Source organism: Homo sapiens, chromosome 4, assembly GCF_000001405.40.
Source record: "Homo sapiens chromosome 4, GRCh38.p14 Primary Assembly".
NCBI classification, from domain to species: Eukaryota; Metazoa; Chordata; class Mammalia; order Primates; family Hominidae; genus Homo; species Homo sapiens.
This window is the reverse complement of record NC_000004.12, coordinates 61,964,198-61,988,464: the sequence shown is the minus strand read 5'-3', so window position 1 is coordinate 61,988,464 and position 24,267 is coordinate 61,964,198. Positions and strand designations below refer to the sequence as shown.

General features: G+C 34.6%; 1 protein-coding gene across 59 annotated transcripts in view; it reads right to left on the bottom strand.

Annotated features, from left to right (window-relative positions):
• The window catches only part of ADGRL3 (adhesion G protein-coupled receptor L3), an 878,010-nt gene that overhangs the window by 89,871 nt on the left and 763,872 nt on the right, over positions 1-24,267 (bottom strand). For 58 of the 59 annotated variants that reach the window (NM_001387552.1, NM_001322402.3, NM_001387522.1 and 55 more), the window contains 2 exons: positions 8,693-8,902; positions 4,862-5,082 (listed from right to left, as the gene is read on the bottom strand). In NM_001387552.1, the coding sequence (NP_001374481.1) occupies positions 4,862-5,082; positions 8,693-8,902 (431 nt within the window). The remainder of the gene's footprint in view (positions 1-4,861; positions 5,083-8,692; positions 8,903-24,267) is intronic. The other variant, NM_001387542.1, reaches the window with a different exon arrangement.

Sequence of the window (24,267 nt, the reverse complement as noted above, 5' to 3'; positions counted from 1 at the left end):
ATCCCACTGAATATCCATATGAATAACAGTATGAGAGACATAAAAAGATATAAGAAAGAGATAAATGAAAATAAATGTCCATTATTAACAGCGCAATTTATACCTGTGGTCTACTAGCAGAGTTTTTTTTAAGATTATTGTTTTTTAAAATGGATTTTTTAAATAACTAATTATTTTAACCAAATGTTAGTTCTAAGTACATTCTTGAATATAATGTCAGTACAGATAAAAAGGTTTTGTTAAACAAATAATGGCTCCTTACAAGCACTGCAAATTGATGGCAAACTAAGCAACTTCTCAGAATCAAATTTGTATGCTTTGTGTGTATGTGTTTTATACATAATAATAAATTCAATAGCCCTAACAACATTTCATAGAAAAACATCAAAATCCATCAGCCAGATGGAATATGATATTTATCTCCATATCTGTCAAAATAGCATTTATTTAACCTACGAAACAATTTTATCTCTAATTTTATCTCGTACCATTAATATAATTCTCTAAATTTTAGAAATGTAAGGTATTATTATTATATTAAAGATTTCAGAAATAAAACCTCATTGTCAGTATAATAAACAAATACATTAATAGGAGAGAAAAGGGAGACATGTCTATTATCTGAATTATTGTAATAGATATTCAATGGTTTTATTCTAGATGTACTGTAAGTGGGCAAGACTGAAGAATAAAAACTTAAGAATCATGAAGTTCCAAAAACAAGTAAAAAAGATTTCCAAGACATACAATTTTACTGTATTGAGCTTAATAATAATTTAAAGAAAATAGTTGACAATATATCTCTGATTTCTGGCTAACTACACTTTATTATAGGCTGTGGACTATACATTTTCATATTTAAAGAATCAGTGTAGTACATAGGGAGGTAACACTGCAAACAAACAAACTTGAGACAGCAGAGATGTGTGAAAAAAAGATGCACGTGGTGAGCAGGGAGTGGGAAATGCCATATTAAATAAAATAAAAGCAGGCTGGGCATGGTGGCTCACACCTGTAATCCCAGCACTTTGGCAGGACAAGGCTGGCAGATCACCTGAGGTTGGGAGTTCGAGACCAGCCTGAAAAACACTGAGAAACCCCATCTCTACTAAAAAAATACAAAATTAGACGGGCGTGGTGGTGCATGCCTGTAATCCCAGCTACTCGGCTGCTCGGGAGGCTGAGTCAGGAGAATCGCTTGAACCCGGGTGGCAGGGGTTGTGGTGAGCCAAGATCGTGCCATTGCACTCCAGCCTGGGCAACAAGAGTGAAACTCCATCTCAAAAATAAATAAAATAAAATAAAATAAAATAAATAAAATAAAATAAAATAAAATAAAATAAAATAAAATAAAATAAAAGCAATATACAACAGCAAGAGAAACTGGAACAAAGAGTCTCGACGATAGGAAACAAGACATATAATTCTATATACAGAAATTCTTTGAGTGTAAAAATTAATGGCTCATATTTTCACTGTGATGTCTTGATTAAGCCCTGATGGAAACAATCTGTTCACTTCAACTTCTCAAGTAAACACCATGGCTCAGTACTGGTTCTCTTTTCAATATCTGCTTCTTCAGTGGGAAAACAGCACTGTATAGATGTTGGATTGCATGAATTCCGAAAAAGTAGAAGTTAAACATTTTTTACATGTATTCTGAAGGCTTCTGTGTGGACAATTTATTTACAATGTACCCCAAGACACTAACATGTGTTATGCCCCCCTGTGATATAATTGAAATAATGAAATTTTCCCTATCTTTTCCTATCTCTCTTCCATCTACCCTCCCTTTTCTTTGTATCTGTTTTGCTTCTCTTTGTGTTGGAAAAAGTGATAATTGCAAAACTGAACTATTATTAAGGCTTGTTTTAAATCAGTGTCTGGGAAATAAATTAGCCCCTAGTCTCACACAGCAATAATGTCAGTAAATGAGAGCTTCCAGTTACGGTGCAGGAAATTAAAGCAATGATGGCCAAAGCTTTAACAAAGCCACAAGAGGCTACATATTATTGATTCTAAGAAAAGATAGATTTCTACTATCCAAAAAATGACATCTGTCTCAAAGTAAATGACTAAAACACAAACAAAACAAATTGAATGAGTTCAGTAGTAACAGGACAATTTCCAAATAAGGAGAAAAAAATTGATGTAAAAGAAAAATGTAATTTGGAACTTCAAGAGAGCAAAATGGAGCTACTTAGCAACAATATTTGAAATAGCATAAGGTCACAAATAACTATATTACTCAATTTTGTGGTAGAAAATGCATTGAGAAAAATGTAAAGTCCCATGATCTAGGTGAAATGACTGCTAGGGGTTTCTTTTTTGTTTCGATGAAAATATTCTAAAATTAGACAATAGTGATGAGTACATAATACCACAAACATCCTAAAAACAACTGAAGTGTATGCTTTAAAGACTGAATTTTATGTTACATGAATATATCAAAGATGTTATTTAAAAAAAAAAACAAACCTATATCAACCTAACACCCCTCCCCTAAGACATCTTTAGGGACAACCTCAGATAACGTGTTTTTTTGTTTTTTTTTTTTACTAATCCTAGTCTGTTTCACAGATGTCACTGGAATCAACAGAAAAATCACAGACTTGATTACAATTCACAAAGTTGAGATTAAAAAATAATAGTTATTGGCATATTTAGACAAATGGTTTTATATAGCCTGTCACTATACTCAAGACAAAGGACTCAACGGGAATAAGTCTTCTTTTAATTGTATTGTTGGTGCTTAAAATAGCATAGTTCACATATGCTGTTTTAACTATGCTCCCAATAATTCTGGCGTCCTCTTCTTGTCGTTCCCTTTTTATGAATCCTCACTTCTGAGAAGCAAGCTCTTTTATTGCCAACATGTTCAGACTGCTGATTGCCGGTGGAAAGTCATGAAATTTGGCTTATTAACTTCTGTACAAATTGAAGTTATCTAACCTCATCTGAGCCTACACTGCTGCTTGAAAATCTTTTTATTAATGTCTAATTGGCTCCTTAGCACATTTTCCATAGTGTTCATTTCAAAGCTTTTCAAATCTGTTCTCTTGACATGACCTCACCTATTCACTCAATAGAAATCAGCATCTTTTACTTGAAGGAAAAGTTCCTCTGCTTCAAAATGTACCTTGCCTGTCCTTTTCTTCACACTCACCTCAAAAAAGTGAGGTCATTTTACAATTTCAAAAAAAAAAAATCCTAGTTTATTTGAAATAACCTGACTTGGTTTATCTCAAATCTGCTACCAGCTAACTCTATAACCACAGGCAATGCAATTAATTTATCTAGTATTTTATTTTCTCACCTGTAAAATTAGTGCCATGGACTTTGCAAATTCTAAAACCACTTTTAGTAATAAATCAAGATTTTCCAATCTTGTGTTTAGTCTTGTGTCTTTCTACCTCCCAAGACTTTTCCCTTTCATTTGGCCCATATATACTATAAGGAATTTTCTCTCTATGAATCTCCTCCTATTAATTTGATTCTTCTCACCCTAGATATGCTTAAGACTTCATCTTTAAAATTTTGCTTCATGATTATCACGTAAGTTAATATTTTCACTATTTTTCAATCAACTTACTTCCAGGTGTAAATAACGCTCTTACTACTAACTTATGTCTTCACGCCTTCCAATTTGATTTCTGCTTCTAGTACTTTGCAAAAATGGCTGTTGCACTACTTGGGAGGCTGAGGCAGGTGGATCACTTGAGCCCAGAAGTTCCAGCAGCCCAGGCAACATAGCGACCTCTGGGGGCCTCTTAAAAAAACAGACTTGTTGCAGAGGTCAAATGGTTTCTTTTGTTTGTTTTTGTTTTTTACTTAAATTAATTTTGACATAAAACACCACTGATGGTGGTTTTTTGTTTTAGTTTTGTTTTGCTTCTTAGAGATGAGTTCTCACTCTGTCATCCAGGCTGGAGTAAGGTGGCATGATCACAGCTCACTGTAATCTCAAAGGCTGGGCTCAGGCGATTCCCCTGCCTCAGCATTCTAAGTAGCTTTATAGACATGCACCACTGTGTCTGGCCACTGATGGTGTTTTGAAACACCATCTTGAGACTTTCTTCTCCCTTGCCTTGAATCTAAACCTCATGGTAATCTTTCTAAGCCTCTGCTTACCTCTTCTTTTTCTCTACTTGTATTTTTTAGTCCTGGGTCTAGTTCTAAATATGATTATTCATCAGAGGTCTATCTTGGTTTACTTTCTAATCTCTTCTCATAAAACTTTGATTTACTCTGGGTATCTCAACTGTTACATGTATGTAGATTGCAAACATATTTTTATCTGAACTCCATGCTAATATGCTTCACATCTCGACACATATGTCTTAACAGTTTAAAGCTATGTTGAAAGCAAAATTCATCACTCTACCTCAATGCCTACCCAGGAAAAAAGGGGAAAAACACAGGCTGTCCCTGCTCCTATACTCTTTCTGTTGATGACATAAAAGGCTTTCCAGTGACTTGAACGGACTTGGCAGGAAGAAGATAAGCCAGCAATGTCAGGGACTGCACCATCCTATGCTAGCAAATAGCTCTTCATACAGCTAGTTCTTCCTTTGACTAATGTCTTAATGTTCTGAAGAAAAATAAAATTATGATCTCTTCATAATTACACAAGGTTATGATGTAGATGTAGAAAAATTACGCTGTTTTAAAACAGCATCATGATAAGTCTCAAGGTATTTTTTTCTTTTTACATCATAACCAAAGTATAACCATGGATTGAATTATACACATTTGCTGCCCAGTTTCTTCACTGTGAGGTAATATAAAGACCTTTGCTTCCAAGAAAGTCCAACACTTTTATTTCACCTAGATTTAAAAAGAAAGAAAACAATAAACTTACACTTTATCTGTTCCATAACTCCTGTAGTCTACTGCAGCTGACACAGCCACAATGAGTGCAGGCATCCCATAGCCGACCAGATAAAAGTATTTCCTACGTGAATGTTCACTCTCAAAAACCTCCACCAGCATGATATAAAGCTGCACCCCCTCCAGGAACATCCAGGTGAAGGCAGCCAAGAAGAAGAAATGTAACAGGGCAGCGAAAACAGCACAGGCAATCTAGGAAAAGGAACAAATGATTTAGTCAAATCTCTACCACATGGGATACTAGTCAACTGCCATAAAACCAAATTAAATATTTACCAAAACTGCATTACAATAGATCTGCAAAATAATAACCTAGGGAAGATTCTTAAAACACAGATATTAAAACTAATATACTTAAATATAATCTATCTTTGAAAACTGCCTTTAACATTAATAATGGCTTATAGATGACAGTGTATCATTAGAATAAAAAAAATAATACTTAGAAAAAATTCTAATAAGAGCCTATGAATAATTATTTCTGATATTAGCGTAAATATTTTAAAATAGATTTTAAGAATTTTTTCTCTTGGCCATAATCATGAGTTAGAGTTAGAGTCAGAGTTAGAGTTAGAACATACTAACATAGTAAGTTCTTCAATAGTCAGTGAAAGAGAAACATTAAAACTAAGGGGAAAATTAGTGTAGTTAATTGCAGTCTTTTCATGATGAGATTATTACTAATTGTTTCATGATGAAATTAATTATTAGTAATTGTTTGTTTATTTCTACCCTGCCTTGTTTCAAAAATGATTTAAGGTGGTGTTGGAAAATTCATGGTGAACATGAATAAAAATGGATCTGCTTAAAATTAAATGTTCCCAAACTGCTTTCTTTCTCTGATTTTTTGTTATTGTACTAAATATTGGTTTAGACAAGCTTGGTCAGAAAAGGCAGCCAGCTCTTATTTTTGTATATTTTCTAAAGTACTACAATTTTCAGCTGACCAACTATCAATTTCTTACTCTTATGTCAGTTCCTTAATTCTCATTTCTTTGAGTTATTCTTCCTTATAGGAAACCCTGACTAAAATCTATAACTGCTACTAGAAAAGGTCAACAAACTTACCGAAGTTATCAGAGTAACAGAAATTCATTGATGAGTATGATCCTTATGAAATGAGACAAAAGGGCAGGTCAAATTTTGGGTCACAAAGATGACAATGAAGGAGAGATCAGCAAGTCTTACATCTGAGGAGCTAGAAAGAAAGCTGGTCCTAAACACTATGTGGAGTGCAGAAAAGGATACCTCGCTAGCAAGGAGAGTAAAGACAAGTTTTGCTGAGCTGCACTCTACCCATGTTTTTCATATCAATCATTGTTCTTTATATTACTTGTTAGAAATGAGTTTTGTGTAGTATGCAATATTTGGCGAAGTTTTTCATACCATATATAACATCAGGAAACAAAAATAAGAATAAGGTCTCTAAATGAAAAGAAATCACACAGCATTTGAATTGCAAGCTAACAAGAGAATAAAATGATACATTCTTGGAAAATAACACAATTTTCCATTTCTTGCTTTTTAGAGTTAGAACGTCAACTATTAATTTTTGTTATCATAAGGCTTTACTTTTTTGGGGAAAGAAATGTGTACTTTGATTGCTTATTCATAGGTATGCATTTATGGGGAAAGCTGTCACATTAGTATATGATGCCCAATTAAAAATATAATCACCATAATTGTACCCTTTACAGTCATTAATCATGAATGTGTAATCACAAACATGAATCCAACTGCATTTTTATTGTAAAGCACTCCATACATATGGACACATACCAGAAAACAGCATTAAGTAAGCGAACTATTTATTATGCTCAAAAGCCTTCTACAAAATGAAACTTTTCTGCTATTTTGCAATTTTACTCATGATAACAAACTTGTAACATGTGCATAAATCTTAAGTAAACTGAAACTGGCTCACAAAAATTATAAGTGGGCATAAAGTTTGTGTAATATATGAAGATATTGTCTATTATTTATATTTTCTGTTTGGTTTTACCAACAGTTGGCTAGTGCTGTTCTTTTTTTTTTCTTTTCTTTCCCTTTTTTTCTTCCTCCTTTCCTTGATATGACTAAATGTAGGTTGCAATAACGTACAAGGCTGGCAATTAAAGACATGACCAGAACTCATGCAAATATAAAGTGCCAAATAAATTTGGGAAGAGTTTACATATAATAAAAATGCTTTGCAGGTTGTACTATTTTCCAAAATACATCAATTAGAAAAACCCATTTTAGACCTGCAGATTTTAATATAATATTGGCTGTTTTTAAGGCATATTACAAACTTTAAAGCATTATTCTATTAATTGGAAAAAAAAGATATTCTTTCATTTTCTAAATAATTTTACCAAAGTTTCCTCAATATTGAGCCCTATGGTTAAAACAAAAGAAAAAAATAATGACAATATGTAGTTCCTTAGAAAGACAAGTTTATGAAATAATTTCCGAAGAAATGTACATCTCCTTTATTGTTAATGGGAACACAAAATGGTACAGCCACTTTGGAAGACAATTTGTCAGTTTCTTTAAAGCTAAATATACTCTTACCATGTGATCCACAAATTGTGCTCCCTGGTTTTACCCAAAGGAGTTAAAAACATATGTCCACACAAAAACCTGCACACATATGGTTATAGCAGCTTTCTTCATAATTGACAAAAGCACAGATGACATCTTGGAAGCAACCAAGATGTCCTTCAGTAGGTGAGTAGATAAACTGTGGTACATCAGACAACGGGATATTATTTAGCACTAAAAAGAAATAAGCTATCAAGTCAAAAAAGGCATGGAGGAAATTCAAATATATATGACCATTTAAGAGAAGCCTTGGCCAGGCATGGTGCCTCACACCTGTAATCCCAGCACTTTGGGAGGCTGAGGCGGGTGGATCGATTGAATCCAGGATTTTGAGATCAGCCTGAACAACATGGCGAAACCTTGTCTCTACTAAAAATACAAAAAATTAGCTGGGCTTGGTGGCAAATGCCTGTAGTCCCAGCTACTCCAGAGGCTGTGGTGGGAGGATCGCTTGAGCTTGGGAGGTGGAGATTGCAGTGGGCCAGGATCATGCCATTGCACTCCTGCGTGAATGACAGAGTGAGACCTTTTCTCAAAAAAGAAAAGAAAGAAAAACAAAGAAAGAAAGAAAGAGACAGAGAGATGCCAATCTGGAAAAGCTACTTACTAAATGATTCTAATTATGTGACATTCTGAAAAGCCAAAACCATGGAGATAGTAAAAAAAAAAAAAAAAAAAAAAAAAATTAGTGGTTACCAGAGGTTAGTGGGAAAGGGGGGATAAACAGAGGAAGCACAGATGATTTTCAAGGCAGTGAAAAAATTATACTCAAACCCAGAGAATGTACAATCCCTAGAGTGAAATCTAATGTAAACTATGGGATTTGGATGATAATGATGTGTTGATGCAGGTTCATCAGTTGTCACAAGTGTACCTCTCTGGTGGAGGATGTTGAAAATGAAGGACACTATGCATGTGTGGGAGCAGGGAATAGATGGGAATGTCTGTAGCTCCTGCTTAATTTTGCTGTAAAGCAGTAACTGCTCTAAAAAACAAAAGTCTATTTAAAAATGAAATATACACCTTATTCATAAAGTTTGCTGCTTATTTATGACAATGGGATATGAAAAATGGAAAACTGAGTAAGGCCTGAAAATTAGTATCTATCTTAGATGACTAGAAGAAATGATACTTTCAAACATAAGTATTTTTAGTATTGGCGCTACTGAAAAGCTGGAAGTGGAAAAATTCTTCACTGGTATCAATGTAGGTTGCTTACTGGTTGGTCAGTTCGGTTGATCCCAATCAGGAAGAGCAGCTCTGCTACAAAGAGACTGATGCAGAGGTTCTTGTGGATGGTGTTACGGTCACTCTGGAGCCCCCGGAAAAAGCAAAATGTGAAGATGCAAATCAGGAGACAAACAAGGGACAGCAAAATTCCAACCCACGTGATCACATCCAGAAGGAGGTCATGGACCGCATCACTGTGCTGGAAACACAATGAAAAAGCCATAAGTTGCGCTTATGCATAACCAATTACAAAGTTTTATAAGGGCCTGGATGCACAAAGCATGATAGTAATAATGCACAAAATACCCTCTATACCCACAATGAATAAAGTAACTTAATGATTTGGGTTTTCTCTTCCACAGATAAAGCATTTTGTCTTTTCCGTGAGGTGTGAATCAGTTTGATATTCAGAGACGCCAATAGCGTTTGCTTCTTTCTTAGCTACAAGCATTTTCAGAATATAAGTAGTTAAAGCAGACCGACTTAATTCTGGCCAAAGATTTCAAGGTTAAAACATTTTATTTTTTAAATTTATATCACTTTTTTAGACTAATTTTCAGACCATCTCCAGTAGGGAATACTATTTACAATTTTAAGCTTTACACTTGGGGAAGTTGTATCTCAACTAATTTTTGAATCATCTAAGGAGTTTTAAAATTAAAAATGCAATTCCTTTGTCCTCTAAATCTTGTATCATAATTTCCAAGGTTGTGTCATATAAGTATGTATTTTCATAAAGATCCCCAGTGAATTCTGATGAATAGCCACACATGTGCACTATTTATTTTGGGGAAGATCTAAAAGAATTAGGATATTCATTGGATTTATATTCATATTGAATAGCTTAAAGACATCAGCAAGTTTGATCTTTGAAAGGTTTTGCATGAATAGAGCCTGTTATACATTGACAGAAAATAAATATTCAGAATTGCTGTATTAAACAGCAGCATATAGAAGACAGTAGAGCTAAGAAACAAGAAAAAGTTCACGAACTGTACTGAAACATCATGTTTTGGTTCTGTTAAAATAGTCCAGGAAGCTCCACGTCTGCCATGTTCCTTGGTTGTCAATTACTTCATTTCTGTCCTTGTTCTAAGATTCAGAACTCTTATTTCCACCTTAAGATATTTTGTCCCTACACTAAAAAAACTTCTGTGAATCTTTAGAATTTACAGAGGCCCAACAAATAAGTAGATCAAGATGTCGGAGCAAAGTTGAGAAATTGTTTATGACTGTCAATTCTTTTCCTTCAAGGTTTTTTGAAGAGCCATAAATACCTAACTTCTATCAGTAGCAGAATAGATAAATGAATGGGTAAAAGGTTAATTCCTACAATGATATTTTAAAGAATAGTAGAAAATCAGTGTACTATATTTAAAGTCACAAACATGGATAATACACAAAAATCTAATATTTTTTTTTTAAAAAGCAAGCATCAAAAGGATCTACACACTATGACAGCATTTTTGCAAAATTTTAAAAGATGAAAATCAATGACATTGATTTTTATGGATGTATGCAAAATTGGTAAAAGTATAAACATGTACATGGGAAAATTTTGAGTTGACAAGAAGGAGTTGTCTTTCTAATTGATACTTTTTTCAACTATATAGATCATACACACTGACTTTTGTTTTAGGATGGAAGTTGCCACATTTAGTTGGCTTCCACACTAAGCCCAATTTTAACCTATATAAATATTCACGTTTTCCAAATACTGCATGTTCTCACTTATAATCAGGAGCTAAACACTGAGTATTCATGGACATAAAGATGGCCACGATAGAAACTTGGGACTACCAGAGGTGGTAGGGAGGGAGGGGGCAATGGTAGAAAACCTATTGGGCACTATGCTCACTCAATACCTGGGTAATGGGATCATTCATACCCCAAACTTCAGCATCACACAATACACCTATGTAACAAACCTGCCCATGTACCCCATGAATCTAAAATAAATATTGAAAAAAAATTGATTTTTAAAGGCAGACATTTAAAAAACACATATCCAGGTTTTCTTCATTTTTTTAACTTCATCCTTTCAAAGATTTTTCTGGATGTGGAAATTCTTAGAAGTAAGCCACCATGCTGTAATCTGAATCATAACACTCCTCATACTGCCAGATACGACTTCACAGTTGTTATTTGATGAAGACCTCCACTAGAATACTGTCAATGAAGCAGTTTTGAAATATTCCTGCATAACTCTTGATATATTTCTCAGAAGGAGCTCAAGTCATGAAAGAAAACCACATGAAATTTTGCTTTAACTGCTTTGTTCTCCGGGGGATGCTACCAAAGCAGTGTTGGGTCTGCGACAGCTTAAATTACTTTTAGTGTTTGAGAGTGGAGGGTGGTTAGTGCTACCTGGTTCCCTGAATAGAGGGCTATTTGCTCTCTTCTTTGACTCAAAGGAAAGATGCTGCGATTGAGAATCAAGCACCAACGTTTAGCACAGCAGTCTTTCATAATGGAAAAATGGCAGGTATAACACCATCTCAAATGTATCCAAAAGACCTGAAACACCTTTAAAAAAAAAAAAAAGAACAAGAAAAAAAGAAAAGAAACCAAAGAACTCCCACTTTTATCTGTGTAGGTGCATTATTAGAAATGTATTTGTTTTACTCAGTGCCTTAGTAGGCTCTTCAAAAACTCCATGCAGAGTTACTAAGAGAAGAATATCAGATCTTGAAATGTCAGTAGCAAAAATTTGTAACTCTCAAACATAGAACAAAAAATCCTAGTAAATAATTCACCTTTTAAGTATGACTGTTTAGCAGGAAAACATCAACACCAACCACCTATATGTCCATGACACTGGGAGGGCAGCACTCATCAAATACAACTCAATACTTGAATTTTACCAGTAACATGAATGGGAAAGAACAATGGTGCATTAGTCCATTCTCATGCTGCTGATAAAGACATACCCAAGACTGGGTAATTTATAAAGAAGAGCAGTTTAATGGACTCACAGTTCCACTTGCAGGCTTCACAATCATGGCAGAAGGCGAAGGGGGAGCAAGACACGTCTTACAAGGCAGCAGGCAAGAGAGAATTTGTGCAGGGGAACTCCCATTTATAAAACCATCAGATCTCATGAGACTTAATCACTACCATGAGAACAGTATGGGGGAACCGCTCCCATTATTCAATTATCAAATGTCACCTTCTCACAGAGGGTTTTTTCTGAGTCATCCTATCTAAAATTACAGACCCCTTTTCTGTATTCTCACTCTCTCTATTGCTTTTCTTGCATTATTTTCCCCTTACTCCTTATCACTTGATTATTGCAATTCAAGGTGATACTTGGATTAGGACACAGCCAAACCATATCAAGTGGACATTGAATGTAAATAACAGATGTAAATATGAAAAGCCTTGTTTATAATTAATAGTCTGCCATAATAGAACTTCTAGGAAGGCGGTCTGTGCATAGAAAAAAGCAAACTCCTTTCAAGAGGAAGACCAGTTGAATTAAACTCCTAGGTATAGTTGTACCAATGTGATAATGGCACAAGGATTCCTATTTCTGAGATTGCATGTTTGTGAACACTATATAACTCAATCACCTATAAAACAAACTATATACCATTATGTACCTTGAGAGCAGGGATTATATCAATTTTATTAATATTACATCCTAGCACCTAGTACTGTGTTTGACATTTAAAAAATCTATAAAAAATATTTGGTTTTGAATGATTATATTCCCACTTCTATTAGGCTAAATGCTTTAGAGCTGGACCCTCTCATGTCAGTACAGCTTAAGCACCCATTTAATCTCCACTTGGATATTTGATAAGATATCAAATATTATATGCCCAAAACAGCTCCTGATCTTATCCTATTCTGCCCTCCTGCTTCCAATCTGCTCTTCCTTCTGTTTTCCTCATTTTAGCAAACAGCAACTTCATTCTTGAAAATGTTCTGGCCAAAAACTCAGGAGTTATATTGACTCCTCTATTTCCTTCACGCACTACATTTAATCCATCAGGAAATCTTATAGGTCTTACCCTCTAAGCCTGACAGGTTCTTATCATCTCAACTGCACCAACTTGATTGGAGCCATCTGATTTCTTATGAAGAGCCTCTTAACTGATCTCCCTACATTGGCCCTAATCCCACTTCTCTCTATATTTAGCAGAGCAGAGAGATTCTTTTTATATATAAGTCACACGACATTGCTCCTCTAATCAAAGCCTCCAATGGCTCCCACTCAATGAAAATAAAACTAAGTCTTTACAAAAGCCTTAGATAGCCCTAAGAACTGCACCCCTGTGACATCATTTCCTATTTTTCCCTTCCTTCAGTGCCTCAGTTCATTCCACTTCCATTGACCTGCTCTGTTCTTTGAATGGTTGAGAGATATTCCAGCCCATGGTCTTTGCATCTGATGCTCCTTTGGACTGGAATACTCTTCCAAAAGATATCTGCGTGGCTTACTTGCCACACTCCTTTTATTATTTATTCAAATGTCACCTTCTCACAGAGGGTTTTTTCTGAGTCATCGTATCTAAAAATACAGACCCCTTTTCCGTATTCTGACTCTCTCTATTGCTTTCCTTGCATTATTTTCCCCTTACTCCTTATCACTTACTTAAACTATATATTTTAATATTTTTTCTACTTATTTTCTGTGCCCTCCCTAACTGAAAGAAAGCTCTAAGAGAATAAGTTGTTTCATCTCTTCTGATTACCAATCCTCCAGCTCCTGGAGAAATATGTAATATACAGTAGCTGCACAATTAATGCACTGATTGAATAAATGACCTCTCTTTAATCATCTCTCTCTTCTACAATGGATTTTGATTCAAACTACAAGTTGTATCATGCTGCCCACTAAACAGTCCTTGGGACTCTTCCTCTTAAATCATCAGCTCTAAAATGTTGAGTAAAAGATAAAGAAAATTAGAGCTAGAAAATAAGAAGGTTGTTACATCATAATACCTTAAGATGTCCTGTAATGTCAGCGTGTCAAACGAGTATAAAAATGAAGACAAAAGTACAGATGTAAATAAGAGGAATCTTGAGTAATTAATTCTTGGAGTCTAAAGCCTTGAATTTAATCTTGTCACTTCAATTTAGTCATTGTTACTTTTAACAAAGTACTTAATCTCTTCAAGTATCAGAAGCCTTATCCACAAAGCAGTAAAATAACTGAGGCTTCAGGATATTGTGATAAGTAATTCACATAATATATGTGAAAGCAAGAAAGTGAATATTTCTTTACTTTTTTAAATCTGAATGTATTCTGAATTTTTTCATGCTCAATAGCAATTTTCGTTTAATAAAAAGCCTATATAAATGATATAGAGAGGATCAGAAAAATAACCATAACAATAATAAATGCTAATGTTATTTTAACTAAGAACACCAAAAAATATTCCAATCAAGTATGAGTTATCTAATTTCACTTTATAACATTTCCAGCTTAGTTATTATTAAATATTTGTGGTACTTATAAATTAAGGCTATAAAAATGCCTATAGTGGCCAGGAATGGTGGCTCATTCCTATAATCCCAGCGCTTTGGGAGGCCGAGGCAGGTGGACTGCTTTGAGTCCAGGAATTCAAGACTAGCCTGGGCAACATGCTGAAACTCCATCTCTACAAGAAATACCAAAATTAGCTGGACAGGGTGGAGGGTGCCTGTAGTCACAGCTACTCAGGAAGCTGAGGTGGCAGGATGGCTTGAGCCCGGGAGGTGGAGGTTGCAGTGAGCCGAGACCACGCCACTGCACTCCAACCTGGGTGACAGACCCAGACCTTGTCTGGGAGAAAACAAAACAAAAAATGTCCAAAGCATCCGAAGAAAGCAGATGAAGACAGCAGATTTTAACTTTTGAATCTGAATTGCATCTTGATTACCGTACAATTGCACTTATGACTTTTAAATGATAAAACAAGAAAAATACTAATTCATTTGTATACTTTTCCTTAAGTTAGAACAAAAAGACAAATAACGTAGCAAACAAAGATGACACTAAAAAATTTTGTCAGGGTCTGTACCATAGACTAGTGTTAATTTTTGAAAGGAACTCTTGGAAAACTCATTAAAAAAAAATAAACAAAATATCAAAGACTTCAAGGAAATTAGCTTCTTAAAGGAAGATAAGGAGATGTGAGAGAAAAATCAGAGGAGAATGACAGAATTATTCCTCAGAAGATAGTTTCAGAAAATTGAATGAATCTATCATCTCTAGAAAGAAATTTTTATACAAACAATAATTGTTTTTCAGGCTTTCTATGAAATTTCTATTCATATATTTGAAAGGCCAAATATTTTGTAAAATATTTGTAAAACTTACATGAAGCTTCTGATTTTCCTTTCATTTTTGTCTTAGGTAATCTGCTTTGTCTTTGTCACTGAGCACTCACATACCTCGAAAGTGGAGTGATGGGAGGAAAGGACGGCTTACACAATGAATGTCACTTGTGAAAGTGACTCTGTCCATGTAAAACCCTCAAATATACCATGAGGTACACTCAATGATACTAAGTCCAAATTTCTGGAACAGGGAAATGTGACTTTTGCCTTATGATTTAAAAAAAATAATAATCACATAAAGTACACTAAGACTTTATGTGAAACTGTTGATATTTCTAACTTTATTGTCAAAAAAGCAAGTCAGCAAACGAGATAGAGAGACAGATCTTAAAATAGTTTTCATTTTAACTATGGAAGTGTTTCCAGATGGGATACAAACTATACAAATTAATTGTGAATGCTTCTGGATAGGTTTTTTTTCTTCTTTTTTGAAAAAAATAATTTTAGAGAGTTGTATTTTTCAGACTGCTTGAACAATCACCCTGTAATAATTATCAACTGCTTGCCAATAATTATCAAGAACCTGTTTTACTTTTTGCACAATAATGCATTATTTTAATGTTGAGCTGGATTTAGTAAAGGAGAATAATATGAGTTTAAAATTGCCTCTTCGATACAAACAAATGGAAGAACATTCCATGCTCATGGGTAGGAAGAATCAATATTGTGAAAATGGCCATACTGCCCAAGGTAATTTATAGATTCAATGCCATCCCCATCAAGCTACCAATGACTTTCTTCACAGAATTGGAAAAAACTACTTTAAAGTTCATATGGAACCAAAAAAGAGCCTGAATCGTGAAGTCAATCCTAAGCCAAAAGAACAAAGCTGGAGGCATCACGCTACCTGACTTCAAACTATACTACAAGGCTACAGTAACCAAAACAGCATGGTACAGCTACCAAAACAGAGATTTAGATCAATGGAACAGAACAGAGCCCTCAGAAATAACACCGCATATCTACAACTATCTGATCTCTGACAAACCTGACAAAAACAAGCAATGGGGAAAGGATTCCCTATTTAATAAATGGTGCTGGGAAAACTGGCTAGCCATATGTAGAAAGCTGAAACTGGATCCCTTCCTTACACCTTATACAAAAATTAATTCAAGAAGGATTAAAGACTTAAACTTTAGACCTAAAACCATAAAAACCCTAGAAGAAAACCTAGGCATTACCATTCAGGACATAGATATGGGCAAGGACTTCATGTCTAAAACACCAAAAGCAATGGCAACAAAAGCCAAAACTGACAAATGGGATCTAATTAAACTAAAGAGCTTCTGCACAGCAAAAGAAACTATCATCAGAGTGAACAGGCAACCTACAAAATGGGAGAAAATTTTCACAACCTACTCATCTGACAAAGGGCTAATATCCAGAATCTACAATGAACTCAAACAAATTTACAAGAAAAAAACAAACAACCCCATCAAAAAGTGGGCAAAGGATATGAACAGATACTTCTCAAAAGAAGACATTTGTGCAGCCAAAAGACACATGAAAAAATGCTCACCATCACTGGCCATCAGATAAATGCAAATCAAAACCACAATGAGATACCATCTCACACCAATTAGAATGGCGATCATTAAAAAGTCAGGAAACAACAGGTGCTGGAGAGGATGTGGAGAAATAGGAACATTTTACACTGTTGGTGGGACTGTAAACTAGTTCAACCATTGTGGAAGTCAGTGTGGCAATTCCTCAGGGATCTAGAACTAGAAATACCATTTGACACAGCCATCCCATTACTGGGTATATACCCAAAGGACTATAAATCATGCTGCTATAAAGACACATGCACATGTATGTTTACTGCAGCACTATTCACAATAGCAAAGACTTGGAACCAACCCAAATGTCCAACAATGATAGACTGGATTAAGAAAATGTGGCACATATATACCATGGAATACTATGCAGCCATAAAAAATGATGAGTTCATGTCCTTTGTAGGGACATGGATGAAATTGGAAATCATCATTCTCAGTAAACTACTGCAAGGACAAAAAACCAAACACCACATGTTCTCACTCATAGATGGGAATTGAACAATGAGAACACATGGACACAGGAAGGGGAACATCACACTCTGGGGACTGTTGTGGGGTGGTGGGAGCGGGGAGGGATAGCATTAGGAGATATACCTAATGCTAAATGACGAGTTAATGGGTGCAGCACACCAGCATGGCACATGTATACATATGTAACTAACCTGCACATTGTGCACATGTACCCTAAAACTTAAAGTATAATAATAATAAATAAATAAATAAAAATAAATAAAAAAATTTAAAAAATTAAATTGCCTCTTCAACATATTGTATTCTGAAATATTTGTAATATAGCTGAGTTTCTTCTTTTACTGAAAATGTATGAGTGTTTACCTTACTACTAACATATCCATGAGCATAAAACATTGATTTGAATCATAAATTAAACTGAAGCCAGCAGGATTCCAAAAAGCCTATTTTCGGATAAACGTGGCATGAACTCTGTGAAAAAAATTCCTGGCATTGATCTAACTCTTGAGAACCAGGTCATCAGACACAGAGGTCACCTCACAAGCTCTTGGGAAAGTGAAAGGATTAATGGTCTGAAGAAATTAGGATTTCCTTTGCAGAACCTGTCATAGTTGGGTAACCCAGTAAGAAGGACAATATTATTATATTTCTTACTTCTTTTTAGGGCAAATTAACTGAAGCAACCTACCAACAACATTCAAGTTTGTATCAAATTGAAAAACCAATCTAAATATTTTCATGCTTTAACTGGTAAAAGAGAAACACTAGCAAGTGTGTGCTCTTAAGAGCATACAACATTCATATACAATTGTCCTTTGAATTCAATGGAACTTATTTAGCAAAATTTCTGGCTTCAGAAGCATACTTATTATGCTTAGCACACTCTAAGTTATTGGCGATCTTCTTGCTTTGAATTAAGAAAAAAAAGCCAAACTAAACAAAACTACATTTGTTGTACCAGATTTGCAACTACCATAACGAATGAAAGAAAACAGCAGAAATTGTTAAAGGAAAAGGAATGATCAATCAATAGAAAGAAAATAATTTAAGAGTGTCTGGGATGAGAATGAAGGTAGGAAATGAAGCTAGGCAGATAGAAAATTTTATCCTTAGCATTTCTGAGTTAAATAAAGTGACTAATGATGATAGCAGTAATAACCAACACATAATTTTCAAAATGTCTGATTCTATTAGAAGAGCTTATTTATTTTCTTAAGGTACTCATTTTAATTCTATAAAACACTGTGATGTGATACTATTATTATCTCCAACTTACAGATGAAGAAACTGAAGCAAAGAGTATACAGAATTTATCCACAATCATTCTACTAGTATGCAGTAGAGATAGAATTAATAATAGGGCAACCAACTGCCCAGGTTTGCTCACTACTGTCTTAGTTTTAGCAGTAAATTTTTGCTTTCTGGAAAACCCTTCTCCAAGACATAAAAAGCCTCAGATTTCAGAGATGGATGCAGAAGGTTAAAAGAAATGTACAAAATCCACAGGACCACGTAGAAAATGGAGGCTGCATGCCACAGTATTTTTAGTGTTGAATGGATGAAGCATCAATTGTCCATTTTTCTTAATGGCTCCTGCAAGTTTTCTCCTGACTACTGATGTTGGTAGTCAAGATCTGTGATCCTAACACCAGTTCATCCACTGTTGCATTACTCTAGATTCTGTGACTTGAGTATTTAACCCACATGCATTGTGACCCTGAGCTCCTCTTTGATCTTGCCTGTGAATTAACTGTATTGATTTGTATGAAGATTGTGCTACTTTAATTTTTATATTGTGAATATTGTGACCATGTTTTCTTACAGTTCAGTGATGCAAATGAGTATGACTATAATACCAAAGCTAACATGACAATACTGAAAAAAAAAGGCTAAACAACTGTGTTACTTTAAAAATACATAGAACGATCCATGGATCTAGATTAGGGAGAAAATCAAAACAGAGTAGTCTACAATAAATAGAAATAAATTTGAGACTAGACAGAAGGTCATATGAATACAATTGTGGAGCCTACATCTCACAAGTTTAGGATGAGACAGGCAAGTTTTTGTAAGTCAATCAAAACCATTTTTTATCTCCTCCCACCCCCCAAAAAAATCAACGCTCTTTTGAAAATGGCAGTTGTTAAATTAGCTTGAATATACAATAAGAATAAACATTCATTATCATTTTGTTCCCTTGATTGCTCAACACACCTGAGTACAGTTACTTTTTTCTGATTCAAAGGTTGCAACTAAAAAGTCCTGAGGGTAAACAAGAGAGGAAATTTTGAGGACCAATATGCTGACCGCTTAGAGTGTAGAGCTGATTTTGTCAGGTCTTATTAATGATCATGGTGCTACAATATATCAAATGATACGTTGAATCATGCCAGCAAAACCATGTTCCCTCTAGCTCTTCGGTATTTTGAATTCTAAAATGGAGTTTCAAATCATCTCCTTGATTTCTGTAAAGATTTTAATGAAACTTCAGATGACATAAAAGATGTAGCATCTTGTCCAAATTTAAAGTAGACTGTACTCATCTATCTGCATATTTGACAGACTGTGCAAATGTAAATGTTGGAAAATTCCATTCAGCCTATAAATGTCTTATAAGAGAAAATGAACAGTTCTTACCTATTAAATGTCCTGTACATCTTTACACAATATTAATAGAAAGGTAAGTGGTTTTCTTTGCTATGATATTGCGGTTTTATAATGAAATTTTTTGGTCACTTTTCAGTTTCCCCAGAATGTGCAGAAGCACTTAATGGGCCTTTTGACTTTCTGGAAATGGGAGAAGATATGTGCTTTGAGACATATGCTGACAAGATGCCTATCATTGTGGCTGGCCATAAAAATATGTTAAAATATTGGCCTTCTGTAAAATTATATTTTCAAAGCATGGAGCAAAAGGAATGTTTCTCTTTGATTTTTAAATATATGACAGATGAGAACAAAGAAAAAGATTTCCATGAGACAGAAATGTAAATGATGTTTCTCTAAAACTGTTCAATGTTCTCTAAAGAAGATGTAAGAAACCTAGAAAAAGGTGAACTGACTCTACTTGAGTTGTTTGAAGTTCTGTGTAGTTTAGGACAAAAAGCCATAGAGTGAAAAAACGACTCATTTTTAGAATTTAAGACTGCTTTCAAAAAATGTCACCAGAAAAGGGCAGTCAAGTTAAACAGGAATTTCTCACGTATTTACTAAAAGCTGTAACTTGTTTAGAATCTGCTGTGGTTTGAATATGACCCCCAAAGTTCTTAAGTTGGAAACTTAATCCTCAATGCAACTGTGTTGATAAGTAGGAACTTTAAGAGGTGATTAGGTTATGAGGGCTCTGCCCTAATGAATGGATTAATATTGTTATCATGGGAGTGGGCAAGTTCGGCCTTCTCTTCCTCTCTTGCCCTCTTTAGCACCCTTATTCTCTTGCCCTCTGCCTTCTGACAAAAGTATCCTTGCCAGATTCTGGTGGTGTGCTCTTGGACTTCCTAGCCTCTAGAACTGTAAGAAATAAATCTCTGTTTTTTATAAATTAACCAGTCTGTGACATTCTGTGATAGCAACACAAAGTAGACTGAAACAGCACAATTTCAGAAGGTAAAACTATGTGCTTTACAACTATTAATCCTGATAGTGTTTTAATTTATGTTGACATCCAATGTACTTGTAAGTGTTTAAAAATGATGGACATTTTGGACATAGACAACATATAGAATGAATTCATAGATGCAAAGGACTTGATTGAAAGGCAGCTGGTCTACCAAAATAAGCATGTACATAAAAAGTGGATGGGTATTTTTGCAGAGCTGGGAATTCCTACAAGTCTAAAAAGCTATTTAGTAAAGCTACACAGTAAAATCAAAAGCATTCCATGCTCAAACCTTTTTGTTGAGAGGATATTTGGCTTTATGTTATCACATTGGACTGACACAAGTAATTAATGTAATATGGACTTAATGGGGGCAGGATTGTGAGTCAAAGTAAATTTTACTTTTGACTGTATTCATTTTTACCTCTATTAAAAAGAAAAGAAATGAAAGGCAAATATAAACATGCCATAGTTATTTTATTAAATAAAGGTAATATATGTTTAATTACTACATTGTATCTACCTTTTAAAAAAATTCTTATATTTACTTAAAAATGCACAATAATATAGCCTAAAAATTTAAATATCCAGTGAAGACTTAAAAAGCATGAAAACAAATGTCTGGATCAGAAGACAGAAAGAAAAATTAAAAAAATTAATACATTTTTTCACACTATTGGCCCTACTATTAACTAGCATTAAAGTACTATTAATTTTCATTGTTAAATAGTAATAACACATATATGAATATTTATGGTGTACTAAGCATATTTTTGGTCTTGCAGTGCTATTTCCCATTGGCTCTCTAAAAACTTGGTCACCCTAACTGGTAGCTAAATATTGCAAGTTTTTAGCAACTTCATTAACAGTGGGAAGGTCCACAAATGCTTGCCTATATTTCCTTCTGTGACCAAATATAGGTGGCCCCAGATTTACAGTAGTTTGACTGATGATTTTTTGACTTTACAATAGGTGTATGAGGACATAACCCAGTCATAGACTGAGGAGCATCTGTATACTAAGCCCCTTAGAACAGGACAGAGCAATGCTTTCATGGGTAAAAATGTCTTGACTATCCTTTGAATACAATGATTAAACCCAGAGATCTCATTGAAACAGAGTTTTCTGGGCTCATTTCTAGCTCTAAATTTTCTTATTCTCTGATAAAATGGATAACTTCTCCTGTTTGTTTTCATTCACACACACACACACACACACACACACACACACCCCTTTTGAAAGTACTTCTTAAAGGTGTTGGGTGATGTGGAGTAGGGTAGAACAGCTGAAGAGTAAGGAAAAGTAATCATAGAAATACCAGATATGAGTTACCCAGATATGTATATTTTTATCACTTTATCATTCTTACAGAGTCATTACCTTTGGCTTGGATGAAAAGAGAAATTCACCACAGTGAGAAAGAAAATTTTGAATCATAGAGGAACAGAATTAGAATTAAAGGAGAAGGTAATTTTTTATATCTAGATTATAAAAACCATATAATAGACACTGCATGAGGCAAGAAATATTCAATAAAATTTTGGTAGATTCATTCTAAGAATATTTATTGGGTACCTATTATGTGCCAGGTACTGAACAAAACAATATAAGTATAAATATAAATATGTACATGTGCACATACGCACACCCATGTCATTTTTATTTCATTTTCATTTGATTTTCTTAGCTATAGCAATTTCAGAAAAAAAGAATATTTATTAGACTATCTTTTTTACATTCTCATGAATAAATGTATTGCATTTTAAGCAGAATGCGGATCTTCCAGATATTCTAGAGACAATTATCCCACAGGCTTAGTGACAATAATGTGAGATAATATAAAATTCAAAAAACAATTAACATCTTAAAAGTTCCATGAATTGGATTTTTAAATTAGCCAGTAACTAACTATAGGAGATCTTTAAATTGTATTATTTACATTGTAATGATACGCAGAGTAAATTGGCAATCCCTTGAATTGTACTTATCAAGATAGGCAAAATGGTTTAGTTTAGCCATATTTCTGTTCAAATGCTTTTTTTTTTCTTTTTGTGAGTCGGAGTCTTGCTCAGTCGCCCAGACTGGAGTGCAGTGGCATGATCTCAGCTCACTGCAAGCTCCACCTTCTGGGTTCACGCCATTCTCCTGACTCAGCCTCCCGAGTAGCTGGGACTACAGGTGCCTGCCACCAAGCCTGGCTAATTTTTTTTGTATTTTTAGTAGAGATGGGGTTTCACCATGTTAGCCAGGATGGTCTCAATCTCCTGACCTCGTGATCCACCCACCTCGGCCTCCTAAAGTGCTGGGATTACAGGCGTGAGCCACCGTTCCCGGCCTCAAATGCTTTTAAAATCTTGTTTATACAATTTGTCATTATTGTCTATCTTATAAAGCTATATAAATAACTATTCTGGAAAACCTAGCCTAATTCCAGTAGAGTCTAGTAGTTTTCTAACTTTATCACTTTATTTACTAGAGATAGCCAAATGAAATAGGCCAGAAAAAGGCCAGGTACAGTGGCTCACGCCTGTAATCCTAGCACTTTGGGAGGAAATGGCGGGGGGATCGCTTGAGCCCAGGAATTCGAGACCAGCCTGGGCAACATGGCAAAACCCCATCTCTACAAAAAAATACAAAAATTAGCCGGGCATGGTGGTGGGTGCTTATAGTCCCAGCTACTTGGGAGGCTGAAGAGGGAGGGTCACCCAAGCCTGGGTCAAGGCTATGGTGAACCATGATCATGCCACTGCACTCCGGCCTGAGTGAAAGAGTGAGATCCTGTCCAAAAAACTAATAGGCCAGAAAAAAAGAAAAACAATTACGGAAATGTTGCCATGTTAAAGTAAAATTTTGTGATCTGGAACAAATAGAGTATAGTTAATAAACACCTCAACTAGTTCTTACCAAGAACAGTATACACAATTGAAAATATTTTTTAGGATATTAGGATGGAAAGGTTTCTATGTTTCTTCTGCTTGGTTGATTGATTATGCTTTCTTAAGCATGAATAAATTGGATGATTAGAACCATTATATTTAAATTTTTTTAAAATAATAATTCCTTCAGTTAAGCAATGCTAAAATCATTTCACTAATGAAGAAGAAAACAAATCAATGAAAAAGTTTATTTATTTTTAGTACTGATTTATGATTGTACTTAAAACTAAATTTAGTGATACTGATATTGTGGGAATTCCCAATGTTCACATAACCAACATTTGAAAGAGTTGGGAAGTTATATGTAGTTATATTTTGCCACAAAGCTATTATTAGACAATTTCATTATGAAAAAAAAGAGTCTGTCACTTCTAAACCCAAGGCAAAGCACTGGCCTAAACATTTCTCTTTCAGGAAAAGTTTACCTGATTAGATGTAGATAAAATCATTATTTTTATTAGAATCTCAATCATGTGTTTGTGCCTTGAGAGTTAACTACATCCAGGATGAAGAGCTTTAAAGGCTTTGAGAATAGTTAAATAGTGAATTAATAAGTCATATTTCCAGAAAACCTTATAATTCTCAATACGATTCTTATAGATTTTGTTATTCAATCCCTAAAATAATTGACAAACTGTTAGAAAAAATTGTGTTAGTCATATTTGATCAA